Source organism: Homo sapiens, chromosome 2 (genome assembly GCF_000001405.40).
Source record: "Homo sapiens chromosome 2, GRCh38.p14 Primary Assembly".
Lineage (NCBI taxonomy): Eukaryota > Metazoa > Chordata > Mammalia > Primates > Hominidae > Homo > Homo sapiens.
The window spans coordinates 153,020,041-153,045,143 of record NC_000002.12 but is presented as its reverse complement, the minus strand read 5'-3'; the positions used below and the strand labels follow the sequence as shown (position 1 = coordinate 153,045,143).

At 36.3% G+C, this 25,103-nt stretch overlaps 1 long non-coding RNA gene across 4 annotated transcripts in view; it reads right to left on the bottom strand.

Moving 5' to 3' along the window:
* Window positions 1-6,500: 6,500 nt before the first annotated feature.
* Window positions 6,501-25,103, bottom strand: part of LOC105373691 (uncharacterized) — a 79,687-nt gene continuing 61,084 nt past the window's right edge. For 2 of the 4 annotated variants that reach the window (XR_007087268.1, XR_007087267.1), the window contains exons 2-4: window positions 20,538-20,602; window positions 15,234-16,941; window positions 6,501-12,892 (exon numbers count right to left, since the gene is read on the bottom strand). This is a non-coding gene — a long non-coding RNA (uncharacterized LOC105373691). Of the gene's footprint in view, window positions 12,893-15,233; window positions 16,942-20,044; window positions 20,161-20,537; window positions 20,603-25,103 lie in introns of those variants that run through there. The other 2 variants (XR_923482.2, XR_923481.1) reach the window with 1 other exon arrangement.

Sequence of the window (25,103 nt, the reverse complement as noted above, 5' to 3'; positions counted from 1 at the left end):
ACTGAATTACAGGCTCCTCCACTCTCCCAATGCAATTAAATCCAAATGCAAAATTCTATAAAAATCTGAAAAGAATAATCTTTTGAAACTCAAACCTGATAATCCCATCCCTCTACCCCTTCTTAAAACTATGGCAAATCTACACCATCTGATCTTCAACAAACCTGACAAAAACAAGCAATGGGGAAAAGATTTCCTATTCAATAAATGGTGCTAGGAAAACTGGCTAGCTATATGCAGAAAACTGAAACTGGATTCCTTCCTTACACCTTATACAAAAATTGACTCAAGATGGATTAAAGACTTAAATGTAAAACCCAAAACCATAAAAACCCTAGAAGAAAACCTAGGCAATACCATTCAGAACATAGGCATGGGCAAAGATCTCATAGTGAAAATGCCAAAAGCAATTGCAACAAAAGCCAAAATTGACAAATGGGATCTTATTAAACTACAGAGCTTCTGCACAGCGAAAGAAACTATCATCAGAGTGAACAGGCAACTTACAAAATGGGAGGAAAATTTTTGAAATCTACCCATCTGACAAAGGTCTAACATCCAGAATCTATAAGGAACTTATACAAATTTACAAGGAAAAAACAAACAACCCTATCAAAAAGTGGGCAAAGGATAGGAATAGATACTTCTCAAAAGAAGACATATATGCAGCCAACAAACATATGAAAAAAAAACTCAACATCACTAATCATTAGAGAAATGCAAATCAAAACCACAATGAGATACTTTTTCACACCAGTCAGAATGACGATTATCAAAAAGTCAAGAAACAATAGATGCTGGCAAGGCTGTGGAGAAATAGGAATGCTTTTACACTGTTGGTGGGAATGTAAATTAGTTCAACCACTGTGGAAGACAGTGTGGAAATTCCTCAAGGATCTAGAACCAGAAATACCATTTGACCCAGCAATCCCATTATGGGGTATATACCCAAAGGAATATAAATCATTCTAATATAAAGACACATGCACACGTATGTTTATTGCAGCCTATTTACAATAGCAAAGACATGGAACCAACCCAAATGCCCATCAATGATAGACTGGATAAAGAAAATGTGATACATATACACCATGTAATACTATGCTTCCATAAAAAGGAACGAGTTCATGTCCTTTGCAGGAACATGGATGAAGCTGGAAGCCATCATACTTAGCAAACTAACACAGAAACAGAAAACCAAACACCACATGTTCTCACTCATAAGTGGGAGTTGAACAATTAGAACACACGGATACAGGGAGGGGAACAATCCACACCAGGGCCTGTTGGGAGGTGGGGGGCACGGGGAGATAATCTAAATGATGGGTCAATAGGTGCAGCAAACCACCATGGCACACATATACCTATGTAACAAACCTGTACGTTCTGCACATGTATCCCAGAACTTAAAGTTAAAAAACAATCAAACAGAAAGAAGCTATAGCTTGTAATTACTCTAATGGTAAAGATAAAATTCCTTAAGAAGCCTATAAACTTATAAAGACTTGCCAGGTATGGCTCCCATATGCCTCACAAGCCTGAACACATACCATCCTCTCTCTCCATGCCAACCACATGAGTCATCTCTCAATCTTTTATATTCTTTATGCTCCCTCCTACCACAGGGCTTTTGTACTTACTGTCTAATTCTCTCTTCCAACAGTGTTCTTGTCCCACTGCTTCATCTAGCTAATTCTTTCTCCTGTGTTAGTTCTCAGCTTAATTGTCATTTTTTCAGAAAAGGATTCTTCAGGCTACCTAACTTGGCGAATTATCCAAATTCACATGGTGTCATGTGGTAACACTTGATTACAGTTGGAAATTTACATTTTAATTATGTGACTTGATTAATAAAGAGGAGCTGTGTCCACCTCTTTCTCTTCTTCCTCCTCTTCCTTCTCCTTCTTATTCTTCAACATTTCACCTATACCTAGCACATTGTCTGGCACATATTCTTGGAATGACTAAAAAAGCTATTTCAGATTTCATCCTGGTGGAGATGTGGGGTCAGAATGGCTTCCACAAATGAGAATCTCCAAGTGTACCCCTACCTTGAGCCCAAATTCTTCCCCTTTAATCCTGAGGAAAAAATAATAATAAAAAAAAAATAAGCTCTTTCTTTCACCTAGATCGAGGCCTGTTTGGTGACGATGTCCAATTATTTGGAGAAAATCCTCACCCTATCCACAACGTGTAGCCTGCACTCCAGTTCTGCTAAAAATAATCTGAATTGATATTACTAAAAAGAGGATTTAACATTTCAAATTCAAGCATCAGTGTTTGGACCAGCTCTCTAGGCTTACCTGAGAATATATCTAGTATTTAGATGTAGGAAATTGGCCCAACTCATAGAAAAGAAGTTTTCCATAAACACAAAGTTTCTATTATAGTTGGGAGAAGTTGCTTACAACTCTCCAAAATGGCACTTTCCAGCATCCACAATTTAAGATTCACCCTCCCAAGGCATTCGTCTACGTACAAAAGTACATGTATGGACACATACTATCTTACTCCATTTTCTGTTGCTATAACAGAATACCACAGACTGGGTAATTTGTGAAGAAAATAAGTTTATTTAGCTCATGTTTTTGGAGGCTGATAAGTCCAAGAGCATGGCATTGGCATCTGGTGGGGTTTTTCTTGCTATGTTATAAAATGATAGAGGGCATCACATGATGACAGAGCAACAGTGTATATGCTCAGGTCTTTCTTCCTCTTCTTTTTTTTTTGTTTTTCGTTTGTTTGTTTCTTCATTTTGAGACAAAGTTTTGCTCTTTTCGCCTAGGCTGGAGTGCAATGGCATGATCTCGGCTCACTGCAACCTCTACCTCCCAGGTTCAAGTGATTCTCCTGCCTCAGCCTCCCAAGTAGCTGCGATCACAGGTGCATGCCACCATTTCCAGCTAATTTTGTATTTTTAGTAGAGATGGGGTTTCACCACATTGGCCAGGCTGGTCTTGAACTCCTGACCTCTGGTGATCTGCCTGCCTCAGCCTCCCAAAGTGCTGGGATTACAGGCATGACCCACTGCACCCAGCCTCTTCCTCTTCTTATAAAACTACCATTTCCATCATAGGGACCCCAATCTTATGGCTTTATTTAATCCTAATTAACTTCTAAAGCTCCACCTCCAAATACCATCAAAATATGAATTTGGAGATCAAGTTTCCAGAACATGAAATTTCGGGGACACATTCAAACCATAACATATACTCACAGAAAATTGTTCCAAGGATGGCTTCTCTTCATAGTGGGTAGTTCCTAACTCTGTCTTAATCATAGCCCAAGAAATCAAACAGAATGGAGTGACAGTGGGGAGAACCTGGAGGGTGATCTTTCTTAACTGGTTTTCTCCAGTTTTCAGAGATCAGTACAGCATGCCTTCATTCCAGTTTGGCTACACAGTTGAGTGAGTTTCCCAGACTCTAGGAGAGATAAAATGACTGAGGCACCTGCTTCCCTGGCACATTCTACCATATTGACTGAATAATGGGAATGTTTAGCTTCCCTAGGGTATCTTCAGTCCATTGTAGAAAAACTAATTTAAAAACTTCTGGGTTAGTGGTAGAAACTACATTCTTAACTTTTAAAGTTTTAAGCAAAAGATAACATTTTCTTAAAGAAAGGAGAGGAAGTGGGTAACCCGAAAGGCTGTACTCTTGATGAGTAATTAAAAATCTCTCTTAACTTTGATAGTTATAGTAGGTTAGTAGAATGTTGATAGATTGAGATTAAAAAGATAACATTTTCTTAAAGAAGGGAGAGAAAGTGGGTAACCCAAGGGGCTGTACTCTGGATGAGTAATTAAAAATCTCTCTTTTTAACTGTGATAGTTATAATAGGTTACTATAATGTTGATAGATTGAGGTTATATTTTTAAAGAAAGGATCATGAGAAAAAAATTTGTGCAATAAGTTTGTATTTCAATATTAACCTTAACCATTATATTTAAAATGTTGATAATACCATAATATTACAAGTATAATGATTTAGTGAAAAACTAGATAGAATTATAAAGGATTTTACCTGGACAGTCCATAGTTGGAAGGGCCTTCTTTTTCCAAGTCCAGGATTTTTCCTTTTCCACTATGAGACAAAGTGTTTAATATATTCTAGAAAAATCTTTATTCACAAGACAAGCTATGGCCACCATGATCCCTACAAGGCAATCCATCCAGAAATGCAGCAGATATTCTTACTCACACAAAAACATCCCAATTGCCTAGGTCACTATTTGTTCTACAGGCATTTGAGAATTTGTATAAAAAATTTAAGCCTCTATCCTCAGAAAATAACTACTGTTCTTTAAGCAGAAATATTTCTAATTTTAATGAAAATTCTAAACAGTAAGAATAACGAAATTCAAACAGGTAATTGCCTAATGCAAATATAACCAAGAGAGACATTGCATAGAAAAATAATGATTTTCTAATAGAGTTTCACTGAGAGAGAAAGAATGATGAAAATGAATTCTTATATAAACTTCAAAATGCAAAGATGTGAATGCCTCTCACTGAAAATTCCTATCAGAGGAATATACTACCAGTATGTCATTAATCTATAAAATATATCCCAATAGGAACACAGAATTTAACTGGTCTTTTATAAACTATATGTACATATATTCTTCTCCATTAAAAACATTGGCAATTGCTTTAAACAATTGTATTCTCTCTCAAAAATTTTTCAGAAATTCTATGCTACCATAGTCTTAAGACTATCTTAGAAATTCATGCAGTAGCAATCATTTAGTACTTACATATATGGGTGTCAAATCTATATATAGTTTCAACTATTCCCACTCCTGTAGAATGTTCTCCTTTGCCATGTGGAATAGACAGTCAAAAATATTCTCAGATAAAAAAAAATTGACAAACCCTTAGCTAGACTAAGAAAAAAAGAGAGAATAATCAAATAACTAAAATTAGAAATGAAAGAAGGAACATTACAACTGATGTCCCAGAAATAAACAAGATTATAAGAGAGTACTATAAACTTATAACCTACCAAAACTGAGTCATGAAGAAATATAAAAAAACTGAACAGATTTATAACAACTATGGAGATGGAAAATGTAATTAAAAGCCTCCTAACCAAAATAATAATAATAATAATAATAATAAAAAGGCCAAGATGGCTTTACTAAAAAATTCCACCACACATTTAAAGAAGAATTAACATCAATCCTCATCAAACTCTTCCAAAGAATTGAAGAGGAGGAAACACTTCCAAACTTATTCTAGGAAGCCAGCATTATTACTCTGATACCAAGACCAGACAAAGACAGTATATGAAAAGAAAATTACAGACCAATATCCCTGATGTATATTGATACAAAAATTCTCAACGAACTATTAAAATACTGATATAAAAATTCTCAACAAAATACTTTTAATATGCTGCATAAACAGCATATTAAAAGGATGATACACCAAAATCAAGTGAAATTTACACCTAAAATACAAAGATGGTTCAACACAGTAAAATGAATTAACACATCACATTAACAAAATGAAGGACAAAAAATAGATAATCATCTCGACTGATGCAGAAAAAGCATTTGGCAAAATTCAACAAGCTTTCCCGATAAAAACACTCACCAAACTAGGAATAAAAGGAAACTACCTCAACACAATAAAAGATGTGTATGGAAAGCCCACAGCTAAAATCATACTCAATGGTGAAAAACTGAAAACTTTTCGTCTGACATCAGGAACAAGAAAAGGATGCCCATTTCTCATCACTTCTATTCAACATAGTACTAGAAGTTTTAGCTAGAGCAATTAGGCAAGAAAAATAAATAAAAGGAATTCAAATTAGGAAAGAAGTAAAATTATCCCTGTTTTCAGATAACATGATCTTATACAGTTGACTCTCTGTATCCATGAGGAATTGGTTTTAGGATCCCCCATGGATACCAAAATCCATAGGTGCTTATGTAAGCAGCTTATGTAAAATAGCATCGTACAGTTGGCCCTTCGTATCCACAGGGTTCAATCTGTGTTTGGTTGAATTCATGTATGCAAAACCCACAATACAGAGGGCTAACTGCATTTAGAAACCCCCAAAGATTACACATATACACACATACACAAACTGTCACAACTAATAAATAATTTCATCAAAATCTCAGGATAGAAAATAAATCCATAAAAATCAGTTGCATTTCCATACACAAACAGTAATCAATTGAAAAAGGAAATTAGGAAAACAATTTTATTTATTATAGCATCAAGAATACAAATCTTAGGAATAAATTTGACCTGAGAAGTGAAAAACTTGTACACTGAACATCACAAAACATTGCTAAAAGAAATCAAAGAAGACAGAAGTAAATGGAAAGATATCCCATGCTCTCCAATTGGAAGACAGTACTTTTTAAATGTCCATACTACCTAAAATGATCTATAGATTCAATATATCCTCATCAAACCCAATGGCATTTTTGCAAAAATAGAAAAAAAATCTAAAATTCATACAAATTTTGATAGGATCTCAAATAGCCAAAACAACTAAGAAAGAAGAATGAAGTTGGAAGCTTCACACTTTTTTATTTCAAAACACACTGCAAGCAACAGCAATCAAAACAGTAGGTACTGACATAGATATATATAATAATGGAACAGAATAGGGAGCCCAGAAATAAACTCTTGCGTAGACGGCCAAATGATTTTCAACAAGGACGCCAAAGCTGCACAAAGGGGAAACACCACTCTCTTCAAAATGTTGTGAGAGGTGTTGGGAAAACCAGATATCCACAAGCAAAAGAATAAAGCTGGACCTCTACCTTATACCATATACAAAAATTAACTCAAAATGGATTAAAGACCTGAAGGTAAGACCAAAAACTATAAAACTCCTAGAAGAAAACCTAGGGGGAAAGAATCAGGACATTTGAATTTGGCAATAATTTCTTGAATATGACACCCAAAGTACATGCAACAAAAGAAAAAACAGAAAAACAGGACTACATCAAACAGAAAAACTTCCATGCATCAAAAAAAAACAGTCAACAGAGTGAAAAGGCAACCTACAGAAGGGGAGAAAATACTTGCAAATTGTTTATCTAATAAGCGGTTAATATACATATAAAAATTGTTACAAGTCAACATTTATAGAATATATAGTGAACTTTTTCAAAGCAACAAGAAGAAAAACAAACAATTTTTAAATGTACAAAGGACTTGAATAGACAATTCTTCAAACGAGATATACAAATGGCCAAGAAACATATGAAAATGCGTTTGACATCACTACTAATAGAAGAAATACAAATCAAAACCGCAATGAGATATAGCCTCACAGTCATTAGGCTGGACACTGTTGAACACAAAATAACAAGTGTTGGCAAGAAAGTGGAGATATTGGGAGCCTTATGCTCTGTTGCTGAGATTGTAAAATGATATAGCCATTGTGGAAAACAGTGTGAGGGTTCCTCGAAAGAATTAAAAATAGAATTACCATGTAATCCAGCAATCTCACTTCTGTACGTACATTTAAAAGTATTCAGAGAAGGACCTGGAAGAGATATTTGCACATCCATGTTCATCACAGAATTATTCATAATAAACACAAGGTGGAAACAACTGAAATGTCCACGGACAGATGAACGAATATAGAAAAAGTGGTATATATACACAATGAAATATGCAGCCTTAAAAAAGGAAATTCTGTTACATACTACAACATGGAAGAACCTCGAGGTCATTACACTAAGCAAAATAAGCCAGTCACAAAATGACAAATTCTGTATAATTCCACACATATGAAATACCTTAATTAGTCAAAATCATAGAAACAGAAAATAGAAAGTTGGTTGCTAAGGACTGGGGGAGGTAGGAGGGGACCTGCAGTTTAGTGGATAAAGAGTTTCAGTGTTACAGGATGAAAAGGTTATAGAGCTCAATTGCACAACACTGTGAATATACTTAAGAGTTCTGACTTGTACACTTGGCTGGGTGTGGTGGCTCACACCTGTAATCCCAGCACTTTGGGAGGCTGAGGTGGGTGGACCACCTGAGTTGGGAGTTCGAGACCAGGCTGACCAACATGGAGAAACCCCATCTCTACTAAAAAGACAAAATTAGCTGAGCATGGTGGTGGGCACCTGTAATCCCACCTTCTCAGGAGGCTGAGGCAGGAGAATCACTTGAACCCAGGAGGCAGAGGTTGCGGTTAGATGAGATCATGCCATTGCACTCCAGTCTGGGCAACAAGAGCGAAACTCTGTCTCAAAAAGAAAAAAAAGGAGTTCTCACTTGTACACTTAAAAATGGTTAACAGGGTAAATTTTATTTTACATGTTTGTTTACCACAATAAAAAAAAATATTCCCAAGTATCCTCTTATGGTTTTCAGGTATTCAAGGTAACTATGTAATTAGTAGGTTATAATGGTGATTTCATATCCATCCTCTTTGAAGTAATTTTGAAAAAACTATTAATGTTCAAATCATCATACCAAGAATATTGAGAAATAGAACATAAATAAAAATCAGCCAATGTCATACTTTCAATGAATTTAAAACCCCTAATAGAGGAAAGATCTGCAGGACAGTTCTCCAGGTGGTCTTGTACCAACCTAGATCTCCCCCTTTCTTGCTCATAGTTCTCAAGAATAACCATAGAATGTGCTGGGAATATTATATCCTGAAATCGGGAAGGAACTGCCTCAAACAGCCTGGACATTGTTCCTGTCCCTCCCAGAGAAGGTAACATCTTGAGTTAGGGAGTAAGTGCCAGGGACAGCTCAGACTTTGCTCCTCTCTCATCTGCAACAGGATGTCCTTCAAAGCTTTGCCCACTGTGTCATGTGGCCTCTGAGGTATATAACCAAGGCAGGATGGCTTTCAGGATGCCTCAGCTGTGGTGCAAAGTCCAGCATATGCAGTCGAGATGCCATCCACCATGGCAGCTTTCTTGAGTCTTGGGAGACTGGCTCACAATGGATCTGAGGTGGTTTTTTTTTTTTTTTGTCTCTTGCTGCTGACCTATAAGTAATTAACTTGCTTTACATAATCTGTGTGTGAGTATCTTCTGTCTCACTGGACTTAGACAAACTGGTAATCAGTGACTGGTGGACTTAAACAGTAGCCCAGGATGCAGTGGGCATAAGTACATGGATACGCCTTTCTGGCGGTAGACTTAATAATAACCTTTGCTATTAGCAAATCTGCTTGGCACTAATAGCACAGAGCAGAGGAGGCATAAGGGAAGGACAAATTAATTCCTTTTGGCAAGTGGGAAAGCAGGAGTAGATCAGGAAAAATGCTTTAAGGAAGTTGCCCTTTGAGTCAGATTTGGAAAGATAAGAGTTTATACAGAAAGGAGGGAAAGGGCACTCCAGGTTGAAGGAATAGTATGAAGAATGGCAGAAAAGCAGGAAGATACAGAACATACAAGGTAAATGTAATTTCTTTGATTTGGTAGAAAATGAAAATGTGGAAGAAAAAGAGAAAATAAAATTTTATTTTCCTTTCCTTTGCATAAATATCCAGGAGTAGGGTTGCTGGCTTGTATGGCAGTCCCATTTTTAGTTTTTTGAGAAACCTCCATACTGTTTAGTTCCTTTTCTCTGTATCCTGGCCAACATTTGTTATTTTTTGGTTTTTTGATAATACTCGTTGTAACTGAGGTGAGATGATATCTCATTGTGGCTTTGATTTGCATTTCACTGATGATTAGTAATAGCGAGCATATTTTTTCACATAACTCTTGGTCATTTGTATGTATTCTTTTAAAAGAAAATTATTCATATCCTTTGTCGACTTTTTTTTATGTAACTTTTATTTTAAATTGAGGAGTACATGTGCATTGCCGAATTTTGCTGTGGAGTTGAGTTCCTTATGTCAGTGACTTGTCAGATGGATAATTTGTAAATATTTTCTGTCATTTTACAGATTGTGTCTTCAGTCTGTTGCTTATTTCCTTTGCTGTGTAGAAGCTTTTTAGCTTAATATAGTCCCATTAGGATATTTTTGTCTTTTCTGACTATATTTGTGAAGCCTTAGACATAAAATCTTTGCCTAGATGACCTGGGAGCATTTCCTCTAATGTTTCTGTCTATAATTTTATGTTTTGGGTCTTGTGTGTAAGTTTCTAATCCACTTTGATTTGATTTTTATATGGTAATACATAGGGGTCTAGTTTCATTCTTCTGCATATAGATACCCAGTTTCTCTAGCACCATTTAGTGAAAAGACTGCCTTTTCCCCAATGTATATTCTTGGCACCTTGTCAAAAATTGGTTGGCGGCAAATATGTGAATTTATTTCTGGGTTTTCTATCCTGTTCTACTGGTCTATATGTATCTGTTTTCATACCAATATCATGCCTTTAGGATTACTATAACTTTGCAGCATATCTTGAAGTCAGGTAGTGTGGTAACTTCAGCTTTGGGTTTTTTGTTGTTGTTGTTGTTGTTTTTTATTTTGTTTTGGCTCAGGGTTGTTTGGCTATTTGGGTATTTCGTGGTTCCATACAAAATTTAAGATTGTTCTTTCTACTTCTGTGAAAAATATCATTGGTATTTTGATGGGTACTGCATTGAATCTGTAGATTGCTCTGGGTAGTATTGTCATTTTAACAATATTAATTATTCTAATCCATAAGCATGGGATTTCTTTCCATTTGTTTGGGTCCTCTTTAATTTCTTCCATTATTGTTTTGCAGTTTACATTATAGAAGTGTTTCACCTCCTTGGTTAAATTTATTCCAAGGTCTTTTATTATTTTTTGTAGCTATTGCAAAAGATGTTGTTTTCTTGATTTCTTTTTCTGCTAGTTTGTTATTGGTGTGTTAAATGCTACTAATTTTTGTTTGCTGATTGTATCCCACAACTTTGCTGAATTTACCAGTTCAAAGAGTTTTTTTGGTAGAGGCTTTAAGCTTTTCTAAATATAATATCACATCATCTACAAAGACAATTTGACTTCCTCTTTCTGATTTGTATGCCTTTTATTTCTAGCTTTTGCCTGATTGCTCTAACTAGCACTTCCAATAGTATGTTGAATAAGAGTGGTAAAAGTGGGCATCTTTGTCTTATCCTAATTCATAAAAGAAAAGTTTTTAGCTTTTCTCCATTCAGCATGATGTTAGCCGTGGATTTGTTTTACATCAACCTTATTATGTTGTGGTATATTCCTTTAATTCCTACATTATTGAGAGTTTTTATCATGAAGAGATGTTAAATTTTGTCAACTCCTTTTTCTGTATCTATTGATACGATCATATGTATTTCATCCTTTGTTCTGTTGATGTGATGTATCATGTGTATTAATTTGCATCTGTTGTACCATCCTTGCATTCCTGGGATAAATCTCACTTGATCGCAGTGTATTATCTTTCTGATGTGTTGTTGCATTTGGTTTGCATTTGTTGAGATTTTTGCTTCTATGTTCATCAGAGATACTGGCCTATAGTTTTATTTTTATGTACAGCATTGTCTGCTTTTGCTACCAGTGTTAATGCTGGCCTCCTAGTATGCTTAGAAAGATTCTCTCCTCTTCAATTTTTTGGCAGTATGGCAGGCATGCTGATCTTTGGGCCTCCAGGTGCCAAATAGGGATGCCAATAGTGGTAGATCTGAGCATGCTGGTCCTTGTGCCTCCAGACAGCTTATTTGGGTGCCAGTAATGGCATTGGTAGGCCAGGCCAATGGGTCCTTGGGTCCCTGCTCAGCATGTGTGGAATCACCAATGGCAGTAGTGGCAACAGGACAACCCTCAGGCCCCAAGCCTCATGCTAAGGCTGACAGCAGAGGCAGCAGTTGGCCAGGCAGGCTAGTCCCCAGTCAAGCTGGTGAACACAAGTGGGTATCAGTGGTGGCAGCAGCGGAAGGCTGGGCAAACCAGTCCCTGGTTCCCTTGGAGATGCATGCAGGTATCAGTGGCAGGTTGGGTGGGCCTGTCTTCAGGCCGCCAAAAAACATATTTGGGCACTAGCAGTGGCAGTCCGTATGGGCCTGTCCTCAGGCCCCAAGACTGTTCTAGTTCCCAGACCACTTAAAGGTGTGTGCAGATGCACAGTGGTCCTGCTGCCAAATGGGGTGGGGTTTCTGTCAGCGGCAGCGGCTCCAGGCAGGCAGCTCTCTGGCTCCGAGCAGCACACCCTCTCTTTGTCCCAGATGCAGCCTCCCTGGTACACTGCACTGCTTATTCCCTGAACTGTAGAACACTGAGTGGGCTAGAATGCTGGGGCCCTCTTCCCACTGCCGGGTCCAGCTGGTGTCACAATATTGCAGCCTTCTGGGTTGATGTCAGGGATATCAACAAGGCTTCAGAAATGTGGATGTATAGGTACTATCTCATCATTTTGAGAGCCCAGTCCCACCAGAGTAGTACAAAATTATACTGTGCTGCAGCTGCTTGAGTCTCGGGGGATGTATGGGACCCAGTACACACTTCCTCTCTGGATCAGTGCTGTCATCTGGACACCAGGCAGCTCCCTGTACTAACTCAGGGCCCAAAAGAGCTAAGGGGCTTATCAAGTGGCTAGAATTGCAGGAGTGCATGATGGGAATGTAGACCACTGAGAATCTCTCACTTACATTTTCCTCATAATGGAGAATTTCTCCTGGCTCCAAGTCAATCCTGGCCAGTATGGCTGCCTTGCTTTCCTCTCCTTCTGTACCTCAGGGGTTCCCTGTCACTTTCTTGCTGTATGCTAGTGTTCTCTCTTAGAAGCTCTGTTCAACATGTGGTTATCTATTTGCTGTTTTGGTCCTTGTTTGTGAAGCAGGTGAGTGCCCAGTGCCAAGTGCCTCTAGTCAGCCGTCTTGCAGCCCCCTGACCACCTGTATTCTAAGTTCATTCTTCCAGCACCATTGTTCACAATGTGTCATAAAAGATAAATAAAATATTTCTTTTCTGTGCATCTGGAATGAAGAAAGTACAACTAGAACAAGTGGAAGAGAGGAAAGAAAATCAATGATGAAAACCATGTCAAAAGCTGTTACTAATAAATGTCAAATTTCATATATCATGATATCATAGCTCATGTTTTCAAACAGAAGATAATTACCTTCCACAAAGCTATCTGAAAAAAATGTAAACTGAATCATAAAACTTCACAAATTCAGACTAATTGTGCAAGCCAGCTAAAAATCAGAAGAATAAATTTACATTGCATTCAAATTTGAAAGAAATTCAAAACATAAAATGCTATTTTCTTGAACTTGTCAGATTATAAATTAAGTTCATTTCCAACAAAGCTCAACTGGGAAATAAATCCCCAACAAAAGAAATGATATGGTGGAAAGAGTGCTTAAAAGAAGTTTAGAACCAACTTAGACTGCTAGATGATCACCTTTTTTTCCAATTATTTTATTGTGGCAAAATACATGTAAATAAAATTTACCTTATCCATTTTAAGTATAAAGTGCAGTGGTATTACATTTATATTATTGTATAACCATCACCATGGTCTATCTCTAGAACTCTTCATCTTGCAAAATGGAAACTATATAGCCATAAAACAATATCTTCTCTTTACCTTACCCTCTCCCCACTGTCCAGCAACCACCATTCACCTTTCTGTTTCTAGGATTTCTGACTCTATGATTTACACCCCAGTCTTTTTGTGACTGGCTTATTTCACTTAGCATAATGTTCTCAAGGTCCATCCATGTTATAGCACATGACAGAATGTCCTTCCTTTTTAAGGTTTAAACAATATTGCATTGTATATGTATACATTTTGCTTATCCATTCATTTCTTGATGAAAGTAACACTTTTGGGTTGCTTTCATAATTTAGCTATTATGAATAATGCTGCTATTAACATGGGTGTACAAATATCTCTTTGAGACCCTATTTCAATAATTTGGGGTATACTCTTAGAAGTAGAATTGCTGGATTATATAGTAAATCTATTTTTAGTTTTTTTATTTAAAAATGACATACTATTTTCTACAGTGGCTGTAACATTGTAACATTTTATATGCCAATTAACAGTGACCAAGGGTTCCAATTCTCCATATCCTCACTAATAATTATTTTCTTGGTTTTTGTTTGTTTGTTTTACTAATTGATGTGAGATGGTGAGGTGAAATCTTGTTTTTTAGGTTTGTTTTTTTTTTTTTTCAGACAGAGTTTTACTCTGTCACTCAGGCTGGAGTAAAGTGGTGTGATCATAGCTCACTATCATCTCCAACTCTTGGACTCAAGTGATCCTCCCATCTCAGCTTTCCAAGTAGCTAGGACTAGCAGGCATGTACCATCATGCCTGGCTGGCTAATTTTTTAGGGTTTTTTTTGGTAGAGACAAAGTCTCACTATGCTACCCATGCTGGTCTAAAATTCCTGTCTCCAAGCAATCCTCCCACCTTGACCTCCCAAAGCGCTGGGATTATAGGCATGAGCCACCATGCCTGGCCATCTTTTAATAGGCTTATTGGCCATTCATATATCTTCTTTGGAGAAAAGTCTATGCGAGTGTTTAATTCTTTTAAATCATGTTGTCATTATCATTGAAATATCCCTTAACATAATTTTTGCATTATTAAAATATACAAATGTATAACCTGACTTTGAAGTCAATGTGAAAATATCACTGAGGGCATTGGCCATTAAATTACTTAATATCAACTGAGTTTTTCATTCATTTGTTTGTTGTTTTTTCATTCTTAGTATTCCAAAGTATTGCCCCATTTATTGCACACAGAAGACACTTAATAAATGCTTGCAGTTAATAAAGACAATATGCAGTTATACTTGTTAATTGTATGCTCATTTACAGAAAATATATATGCTCTGAAATATTTGAAAAGAAATATTCTCCGATGTAAAATAAGTACACATGTTGAAATATTATTAATGGCTCTAATTTACTTAGGTGAGTGTAATACAAAGTTAAATGAAAACTCCAGATAGATTTTTAAAATTCCGAAATTTGTATGTTTTGTTCACATTGTATTGCACATGCACCAAGAAATTAATGGGCAGTTTCTTTTTTTGAAATATCAAATCTATAAATTAAAACAGGAACAGATAAATTATTTTCATGATTAGTTGATGCTATTGTCTGAATGTCCCTTCCAAAACTCATGTTGAAATGTAATTGCCATTGTAACAGTGTTATGTGGTGAACCTTTAAGAGGTGCTTAGGTCATAAGGGATCTGCCCTTATGAGTGGATTAATCCCATTATCCTGAGAGTGAGTTAGTTACCATAGTAGTGGGCTCTGATGAAAGGATAATTTTGGATCCCATTTTGTCTTTCCCTGTCTTGTGTGCTCACCTGAACTTCCACTATGTTAGGATGCAACACAAAGCCTCTTGCCAGATCCCGGCACCATGCTCTTGGTCTTCCCAGCCACTAAAACTATGGGCCACTTAAATTTTTCTTTACCCAACCTGAGGTTCCCTGTTATTCGGCAGCAGAAAATGAAGTAAGATTGCTGGTAAAAAATATAAATTAACCTACATATAAACAAAGAAAAACAGAATAAAACTATTGAAAACGATAAAACTGTAAGTGATTATTGGACAACACATAAAAGTTTTACATAATTCTAATCTAAAATGTACATTTTTACCTGTTAAATATATATCATACTTCAAAATAAGGAATGGTTCTGAATAATATCCACTAATGGCTTTTGGAGCATCCAATTAAGATTATTTCTGCATTTCCCACCTGTAGTTCTCATGGAAGAGTTGACTGTAAAATATTCACCTTCACACTGGAACCAGATGTTTAAAAAGACAGCTCCCGACCCCAGGCAGTGATCCCCTTAAGCAGGAAGTTAACACTAATAATTACTGAAATCAGAAATTTTCTGCATCTCTTAACAGATAAGTATTAACATAGCTGATATAAACTAACATTGACTAACCACTCATTGAGTACCAAGGTATATGTCAAGTGTTTTGTGTGCATAATCTCACTGAATTCTCCAAACAGTCTTATGAGGTTAGTTCTATTATTTTACTTCTACATTGAAACTGGCCTAGGGTCACGGAACTAGCAATTAGCTAAAGAATATCCAACACGGAATTTTTGGCTTAGTGCTATACTGCATCAGCATTATCAAAAATTATTTCCCCAGCTTTTCAAAGAAACACTGCAAAAACAGAATAGCTAAAAATGTTTAAAGTTTGACTAAAAATGTCTAAATAACAGCTAAATAAAAACTGATTAAAATATAGCATTCCATCTTGAAGGTTTGACTATATTTTAAGATTTAAATTAAAAAGAATTTGGATGAAATAGAAAATATGAACTATGGGAAGGTGATTTTTTTAAAGACTTAATTTTTAAAAATTCAGTCTTCACAGTTCATTCTTGTGACAACTCTTGTTGCCTGGTTACCGCCAGGCAGAGAAAACCAACTGCACAAGAATCATCACAACTATGCCAAAAATAACGAACACTTCTTATTTCCCTGTTCTACTCTAAAATAATTATTTATAAAATAGAGCAAAAAAATATATAAGCCTAGGTGGTTAGGGTGGCTCATGCCTGTAATCCCAACATTTTGGGAGGCCAAGGCAGAAAGATGGCTTGAGGCCAAGAGTTCAAAACCAGCCTGGACAATATAGCAAGACCTGTCTCTACAAAAAAATTAAAATAAAAAAAATTAGCCAGGTATGGTGGTGTGGCTGGTAGTACTAGCTACTTGGAAGGCTGAGGCAGGAGGATCATTTGAACCCAGGAGTTCTCGATTGCAGTGAGGTAGAATCATGCCACTGCATTCCAGCCTGGGTGACAGAGTGAGACCCTGTCTCTAAAAAAAGAAATATAGGCCTAATAATAACTGCTTAATATACAAATGAATATTTTCTTCATTCTTTATTAGGTCTTCAAAACATCTACAGACATAACTGATTAATGTATTTTTAGCTTTAGCAAAAATAAAAATAAAAAAATACCTTACAGCATCTGACCAGTGAGTCACTCAAAGTGTTCTGTTGTTCAAAGCAAGAACCTGTTTTTGATGAGCCCTCTGAAAATAGGGAATGAATAATATGAATTCCAGATAAGGAATGTATAAATCCAACATCTATTGGTTTTGCTGTCTTAAGCTTCTCACACCCTTTTCTTAACAAACTTCCTCTTACCTGGGTTAATTAAATTCTTGTAGTACAAGTGAAATTGAACTTCTTGCATCTCAGACCATAGAGATAGGCACAAGACCCCTAAATGAATAAAGTTCTTCATCTCCTTGGGCACATTATCCAAGACAGACAATCATAATTTTCAGTGAAATTTACTATATAAACAGTAAAGAATTTGGGGGTTTCTTTTTTGGATTGTAATCTATAAGTACACAAGTTTGCGGCTACAAGGAGCTGTATTTCCCACCATTTGGGGAAATCCTGTTTGTGAATAAAGTCAAACAGGGCTGAGTAATTGAATAGCATCATTCAGAAAAAGTTCCTTGCTTGTCATTCACAGATACATAGCCAACATACTTCCTTTTTTGCCTAATGTAATTTGATTTGCATTTCCATTGCAAGCAAACAGTCTGACAAATATAATTCACTCAACCATGGAGTTACTTGATTCCCTCTTGAATACATTTATATTTAGGAACTTGGGATTTTGAGATGAGTTCTTTAAGATAACTACCAGCTGATAAAGTCATATTTCCTTTTTATTTTTCTTTAAAGTATCTCAAGTGTCAAGCAAACAGTGGTAGGAAACTGAAATTCTGTGACTGAACACCCTCAATCTATACATTATAGTCACCAATATTTGGGGAGAATAATTACAAAAAAAAAATCTTCCAAAAAATACCTCACTTCAATATCATGAGAACTTAAATTCTATCATCAGAAGTTTAGTTCCTAATGTTAAGCCCTGTCATTTCCCTTCAGTCCTCTTTTGAGAAATAAATAAAATGAGGCACTTATATCTTAGTGTGAATTTCTCAGACAATTTTCTTCTATAATAAGAGAAATAACAGAAGAAGAGTGGGTGCCAAAAAGTTTCAGAGACAGGGTAAAATGTGAAAGGATCAAGAGAATGAGAAAACAAGACACAGACTGGGAGGACATATTTGCAAAAGACATACCTGATAAAGGACTGTTATTCAAAATATATATAGAACTCTTAAAACTTAAGAAGAAGAAAACAAACAACCTGATTTAAATATGGGCAAATATATAGACACCTCACCAAACAAAATATACAAATGTCAAGTAATCATAGAGAAAGATTCCCAATATGATATGACATTAGGGAATTGCAAATTAAAATGAGATACTATTACATGTCTATTAGGATGGCTAAAATCCAAAACACTGACAACACTAAATGCTGGAAACAGGAGCAAAAGGAGCTCTTATTCATTGCTGGTGGGAATGCAAAATGGTACAGCCACTTTGGAAGAGAGTTTGGCAGATTCTTACAAAACTAAACATACTCCTACCATATGATCCAGCAATCACACTCCTTGGTATTTACCCACATTAGTTGAAAACTTATGTCCACATGAAAACCTACGCACAAATGTTTATAGCAGTTTTATTCATAACTGCCAAAGCTTGGAAGCAACTAAGATGGCCTTCAGAAGGTGAATGGGTAAATAAACTGCAGTACATTCAGACAATGGAATATTATTCAGCACTGAAAATAAAGGAGCTATCAAGCCACACTCAAAAAATGGAAGAACTTTAAATGCATATTGCTAAGTGAAAGGGGCCAGTCTGAAAAGGCTAAACCCTGTATGATTCCAATGATGTGACATTCTGGAAAAGGCAAAAGCGTGGAAACAGAAGAAAGATCAGTGGTTGACAAGGGTTTGGGGGAGGGAGGGATAAATAGATAGAGCAAAGGGGCTATTTAAGGCAGTGAAACTATTCTGTATAATACCATAATGGTGGCTACATGTTATTATACATCTGTTAAAACCTACAGAATATGCAACACAGAGTGAACCCTAATGTAAAATATGAATTTGGGTAGATAGTGATGTGTCAGTGTTGGTTCATCGATTCTAACAAATACCACTCTGGTGCGCTGCTGAGAGATGTTGATGATGGGGAGGCTGTATGTATGTGGGAGGGGTTACGTGGGAACTCTGTATTTTCTGCTTAATTTATTTTTAACTTAAAACTTCTCTAAAATATAAAGTTTTTAAAAATAAAACCAATGAAACAGATGATGACCATAAGTCAACAAATCGTATGCATCACAATTCCTCCATCCCTATCACTCTTCAGTGGGAAGAACACTAGATTTAGAATGTTCTATTCACATAACAAATATTTATCAAAAAGGTATTGTGTACCTTTGCTAGGTGTCTAAATAAATACAAATAATCATTGCTTGCATGCGGCTTGTAGTCTAATAGAGAAATACAATAAACAAATAAATATGTAATTACAGATGATGATAAGTGCTATAAAGAAAATAGATAGGGACCCAAAGTAGCATGATAGTGGGGACAATTTTTTCAAGAAAGGGGAGAAGAAAGGTAGACCAGCAGATATAGAGAGAAGTGGGGTCAAGGAAGCCTGTTTTTAACATGGCAGTACTAGATAATATTTGAGTATTGGAAAGAATGGTCCAGTAGAGAAAGAGAAGTCATAAACACAGGAGAGAAAGATAGGTGGTAAATTATGAAGCAAGGACCTGAAAATGAGGGTTGGAATCCAGAATGCACATGAAGGGCCTACTCTTTGATGGGAGGAATTCCTACATTACAGCAGAAGGAGAAATGTAGAAAAAGAAGAATATTTTCAACAACCCTAATAAGAAGGCAAAGCCCTTTCCACCAGGTGAACAAAAATCTCCTTTTGGGGTTGTGCCATAGATGACAGAGGCAGAAAGCACTGAAATAATTTTTTATGAAATCTAATAGACATTGGCACCCACCTTTCTTGGCTGGCAAAAAAAAAAAAAAAAAAGGTTTTTTTTCAATTACTGTGGAGAGTTTCTTTTTTGCCAGTGGCAAGATTAAAGCTATGCTGATGGGAGGAAGATCCCTCCTTGTATGAACTAGACTGCATGTTCTCTGGGCTGTTTAAAAGCTTGTGTTGGTAACATATACTTGTTTCTTAACAATGAGAAAATCAGCCACTGTGGCTAGTGGGAAGACTAACCTGGAACTTGAGTAGCCACACGGGTCTGCACTCACAGGACATCCTCCATGGCCCGAGTCAGCAACAACTATGCAAACTAGGAAGTTCATTAGCAACTGGCCATGGCCTGAAACATTCTAGTGTATAAGACAAGAGGGAAGAAAGAGCGGGGTGGCTCTTGCGATGACAAGTGGAATTTTCTGGGGCAGAGTATGTAGACCTGAGTAGGATTTAAAAGAAAGAGCTCCAAAACTGAGAGAAATGGGGAGTGATGGAAGCTGGAGAGAGAAAGAGAGAGACCTGAGAGAGAGAATATCCACTTGAGACCCCTTCTTTTAGAAGGTCTGAGGGTCCCCGGCCCTTCCTTTGGTGACTCAAAAACATGACTAAGTCATATAAAATGATTTCTGTCCTCCAGCATAATATGGCCTTTCTGAGACCCTTTCAGTGCATATTTGACCTGAGGAACACGGGAGACGGAGGAAACTTAGGGGAATGACTAGAACTGGCTCACCTCAGTCCGTGGTTTTAGGTCAGATGACAGTGGTTACCGGGACAGCAGGAAGACAGCCACAGGCACTGGGGTAAAAACAGGATGACCGAGAGAGGCTTTGTCACAACTGGGTCACAGATTTATGAGACAAGATTTTCAACGAGAGTTTTATAGAGAAAAGATATAAAATAGTATTCATGACAAGTGGAAGAGTGATACTCTCAAACAACATCAATTCCTGGGAAGAATTAAGGGCCCATTTAAGACAGGTATTATGTTTAAGCCTTGCCTCTGCCGTTTATCAGCTATATGATTCTTTTACAATACACTTATCCTCTTTGAATCTGAGTTCCCTTGGTGGTAAATTGGGGATAGTAACACCTCTGATACAAGCCTGTAGAAAGAATTAAGATTATGTATATAAATTCTTTATGCATAGTAAATTCTCAAAAAATACTAGTTTCTTTTCCGCTTTCATGATATATAAGCCTTGCAAAGTGGTAGGGTCTTTTATTTTTGGTCGATATTCATCTGAGAGTGTTTTCCTAAGTAAGGTGTTAGCATTAGGAATATCACTTCCTAAATCATTTCAGGCATTTTGAACATGGAAAATTGTTCAGGGTATATATAATTCCTGAATCAGTGGGCTAACCACTGTATCCAGATGTTTTCATTCAAGTCAGTCTTAGGCCCTAAAGTATCAAACCAATCTCATTCAGATTTATTTCTACCTAGAAGACAATCTTTCCAGAATGAAAATAAAACCCTTTTAAATATTCTTATCAACAAGTTACCTTTATGTTTTTACTATGTTATTGGTAAACTGATAATGAGAAAGCAATTTGATACGACTGCTTTTATTTGAGGAAAATAGGTTTTGGATTTCCAATGGGATTTTATTATTTCCTTGTTTTCTGGGTGATCTGAAATTAGACAATGTTGCACCAGGTTCTCATACTTTAATGTTCATCAGAATCACCTCAAAGCCATGTCAATAATTCAAGTTTGGACACCTTCACCCTGGAGCATGTGATTCTTTAGGTCTGAGGTGGAACCAAGGAATATGCATTTTTGCCAGCATTCCAGGTAACATTAACACAGGTGATCCTTAAACTTCATTTTGAGAAACACTTGCAGACTGATAAGATGTCTATTCCCTTTGGGAAAATTATTTGTTTTTATCATGTGGAGAATCTAAAGAAACTCATTTTCTATTTTTGTATACAGACCATACTTGATTTTTCTTCCTTACATTGAATTTCTGTTCACTTTGAGTGTTGCATTTTATGGATACATATATTTTACAGAGTTTAAAATGTTAACTTTATAATTTTTTTTTTTTTGAGACGGAGTCTCACTCTGCTGCCCAGGCTGGAGTGCAGTGGCGTGATTTTGGCTCACTGCAAGCTCTGCCTCCCAGGTATAATATTTTTATAATGAAAGCCTATATGATTTGTATCTTTTTTATTAGAGGCTTTGACAGCTGTTTAACTTATCACTTGATAGTACAATAGCAAATACTTTTGCATTTTTCTTTATCTATGAAATCTATCTGTCTTCATTTACTTTGAAGCCCCAAGGATTATCTAAATTTTCCAGTTTAAATTCCTACCTTTAGGAATTTTATGTGAAAGAGAAGAGATGTCCTGAAATTCCCTTGGGAATTTTCTCCTAAGGATATTTACTAACTATATCTTGTCTATCCTTTCTTTTGTTCCAATAACAAGTCATATTTCTTTACACATAGAAACTGATAACATTACAAACACAAACTTGCAAGCTTACGTAGAATTGAAGCCAGGAAAAAACCTGGAGGACAGCTATATGTCTTTTAGAGAATTGCTTTTCAGTAGCATTCAAAATACATAGTTCACATACCAAATAACAAGTAAATGTAATGCTTTCCAAGATGGAACATGAGGTCTCAGTCTATTTTAAGAGGAAGAAAAGATTGGAAAATATCCCAGAAATGTCATTGTGTGAGCAGGTTGAACAATCCACTAGCATAAAAGAATTTTTTTAAAAGAAGTCACATACACATTTATGACATTTAGGGAAGATGGTAGAATAAAAATTGTCAGATTTCCTTAGGGAAAACATTCAAATGAAACTCCTAAACTATAACTGAATATCACAGTTTCATCCATTCTGTTTGGAATCATGGGACCAGAAGGAATGACAGGCACTCATCTGGCCATCTTCCTACCTTTAGTCAATTCCCATTACTAAAGTTGCCTAAGATTAGTAAATAATCAATCCCAGTTTAAATGCCTGCAGAGGAACAAACTCTAAAAATTCTTTATTTACCAGTTCAACAACCAATGTGCAAGTTGAATCCATTTATTCCTTCTTTTATTCAATCCAAAAATATTAAGATACTACTATGTACAAGGTACATCATTACCAAAACCTCCAGACAAAAACTCCATAAAATTTAGTCAATTATTGAAGCATCTTTAATACATAAAATCAAACATTAGATGTGTTCCAGTGAGGCAGACATTATGCAAAATTGTGAATTTTAACTTTTTCTGCCCTGTTCCTTTTCAGTTCATTACCCACTCACATCTCTATCCCCAAATCACAGTGTAGAGAAGATTTAAGGAAATTTAAACTGTTCAGCTCAGGAATTCTTGAATACTTGCTTCATTTACAGGCATATGAATGTTTAATGTTGATATTTGATAAGCTAATGATATGCACAAATGATATGCCAAATGTTGATATCTGATAAGCTAATGATATGCACAAATGTTTAGGGTTGATATTTGATAAGCTAATGATATGCACAAATTTGTAATCTGTAGAAGCTATTGGCATGTATTTGTATTCAATCAGAAATGGCATACCTATTGTTACAGGACAGGAAAGAATTCAAACTACAGATGCTCCTCGACTTACAATGGAGTTATATAACCATGGTAAGCTGAAAATATCATTAGTCGAAAATGCATTTAATACACCCAGCCTACCAAACAACGTAGCTTAGACTACCCTGCCTTAAACGTGCCCAAAACAGTTATATTAGCTTACAGCTAGACAAAAATCATCTAACACAAAGACTATTTTATAATAAGGTTTTGAGTACTATACGCAGATGGGTGTTTTGTAGACATGATGTGATGAGATAACACAAAACACAATATTCCAAAACCACTGGTAACAGTACTCTACAGAGTATTAGTTGTCTACCCTTGTTGTCACATAGCTGACTAGGAGCTGCAACTCACTGCTACTGCCTGGTATCTTAAGAGAGTTTCCTACCACATATCGCTAGCATGGGAAAATACCAAAATTCAAAATTCGAAGTATGATTTCTACTAAATGCATATTGCTTTCACACCATTGTAAAGTTGAAATATTCTTAAGTCAACCCATTGTAAGTTGAGGACCATTTGTACTTGGAGCTCCCCCCAACCCCTTATCTAGGTGGGAGAAAATAACAGGCAAGGGATGGGTTATAAAATGAATGCTCTATACTTACTAGAAGATGTAAATTTTTGGAAAGATAAGACTTTGATGGAAAGAAATGAGGAAGTGTTAGCCACTCTAGCTGTTGTTGGGCTAAACTCTTGGAGGTGGAATATTTTTCCCCTATATACCTATGTACTCCAATATAACAAGTCTGCGTATGATTGATGGGCATTTGGAGCTCCTCCCTTGCTTACCCACAGGATGCAGACCCCTATACTTATCTCCAACTCTGCCTTCTCTAATGTTTCTAGAATAGAAATGTCTAGAATAGATGACGTTCTCCAAACACATAATATGTGTACCTGACCTGTGCCTTCAGTCTATCACAATAATTTGTCTTTGTCATGTTTCCCAGTGCCAAAATGTTCCACCCTGTATATTCTTCATTCAGAATCTTACCTGAAGTGTCCAAGGTAAAAATCATGGACATATCATGATATAATAATAAGAAAATTAACTAAACTGCACAAAACTCAGACTTTTTCATATCTGATACATTCTTACAAGTCTTCTTGGTTTCACCTGTCTCTCATTCTAGTCACCAGTGCAACAAATTCTTCATGAGCTCTTCCCAGCTTCACAGCGTCTTACCTCCATCCCACTCTACATGCCTCTTTTCTCCAGGCCTAAGTTTCTCTATGGAAATACAAGCACTCATACTTTACACAGACACAGCCTTGAATGTAATTCCTCATGACACAAAGTTGGCCAAAGGAGAACAGAATCCAACACATCAATGCCTCTCCCATTCTCCCCTCATCTCCTCACCCTTAGCATACAAGCATATGGTCTGGAATACATTTTGCATGGCTACTCAGCTGCACGTTCAGCCTCTCATTGCAGTAAGCAACTCATAGTCTTATATTGCTCTCTTTTCTATTCTGCTTCATTCCTCTATCCTTCACTCCTACTCCCTGGAATTATTATCCAATAAAATACTTATACATAGACTTTTGACTTAGGCTCTGCTCTCTGAAGGAACCCAGATAAGAACGGCAATGACTTCATTTTCATACTGGTTTCCTAGAAATATTCTTCCCAATCTGTATTTATTATAGGTCAGTTAGGAGAAGAGGATATTATCAATAGAAATATATTTTGGAGAGTTCTCCT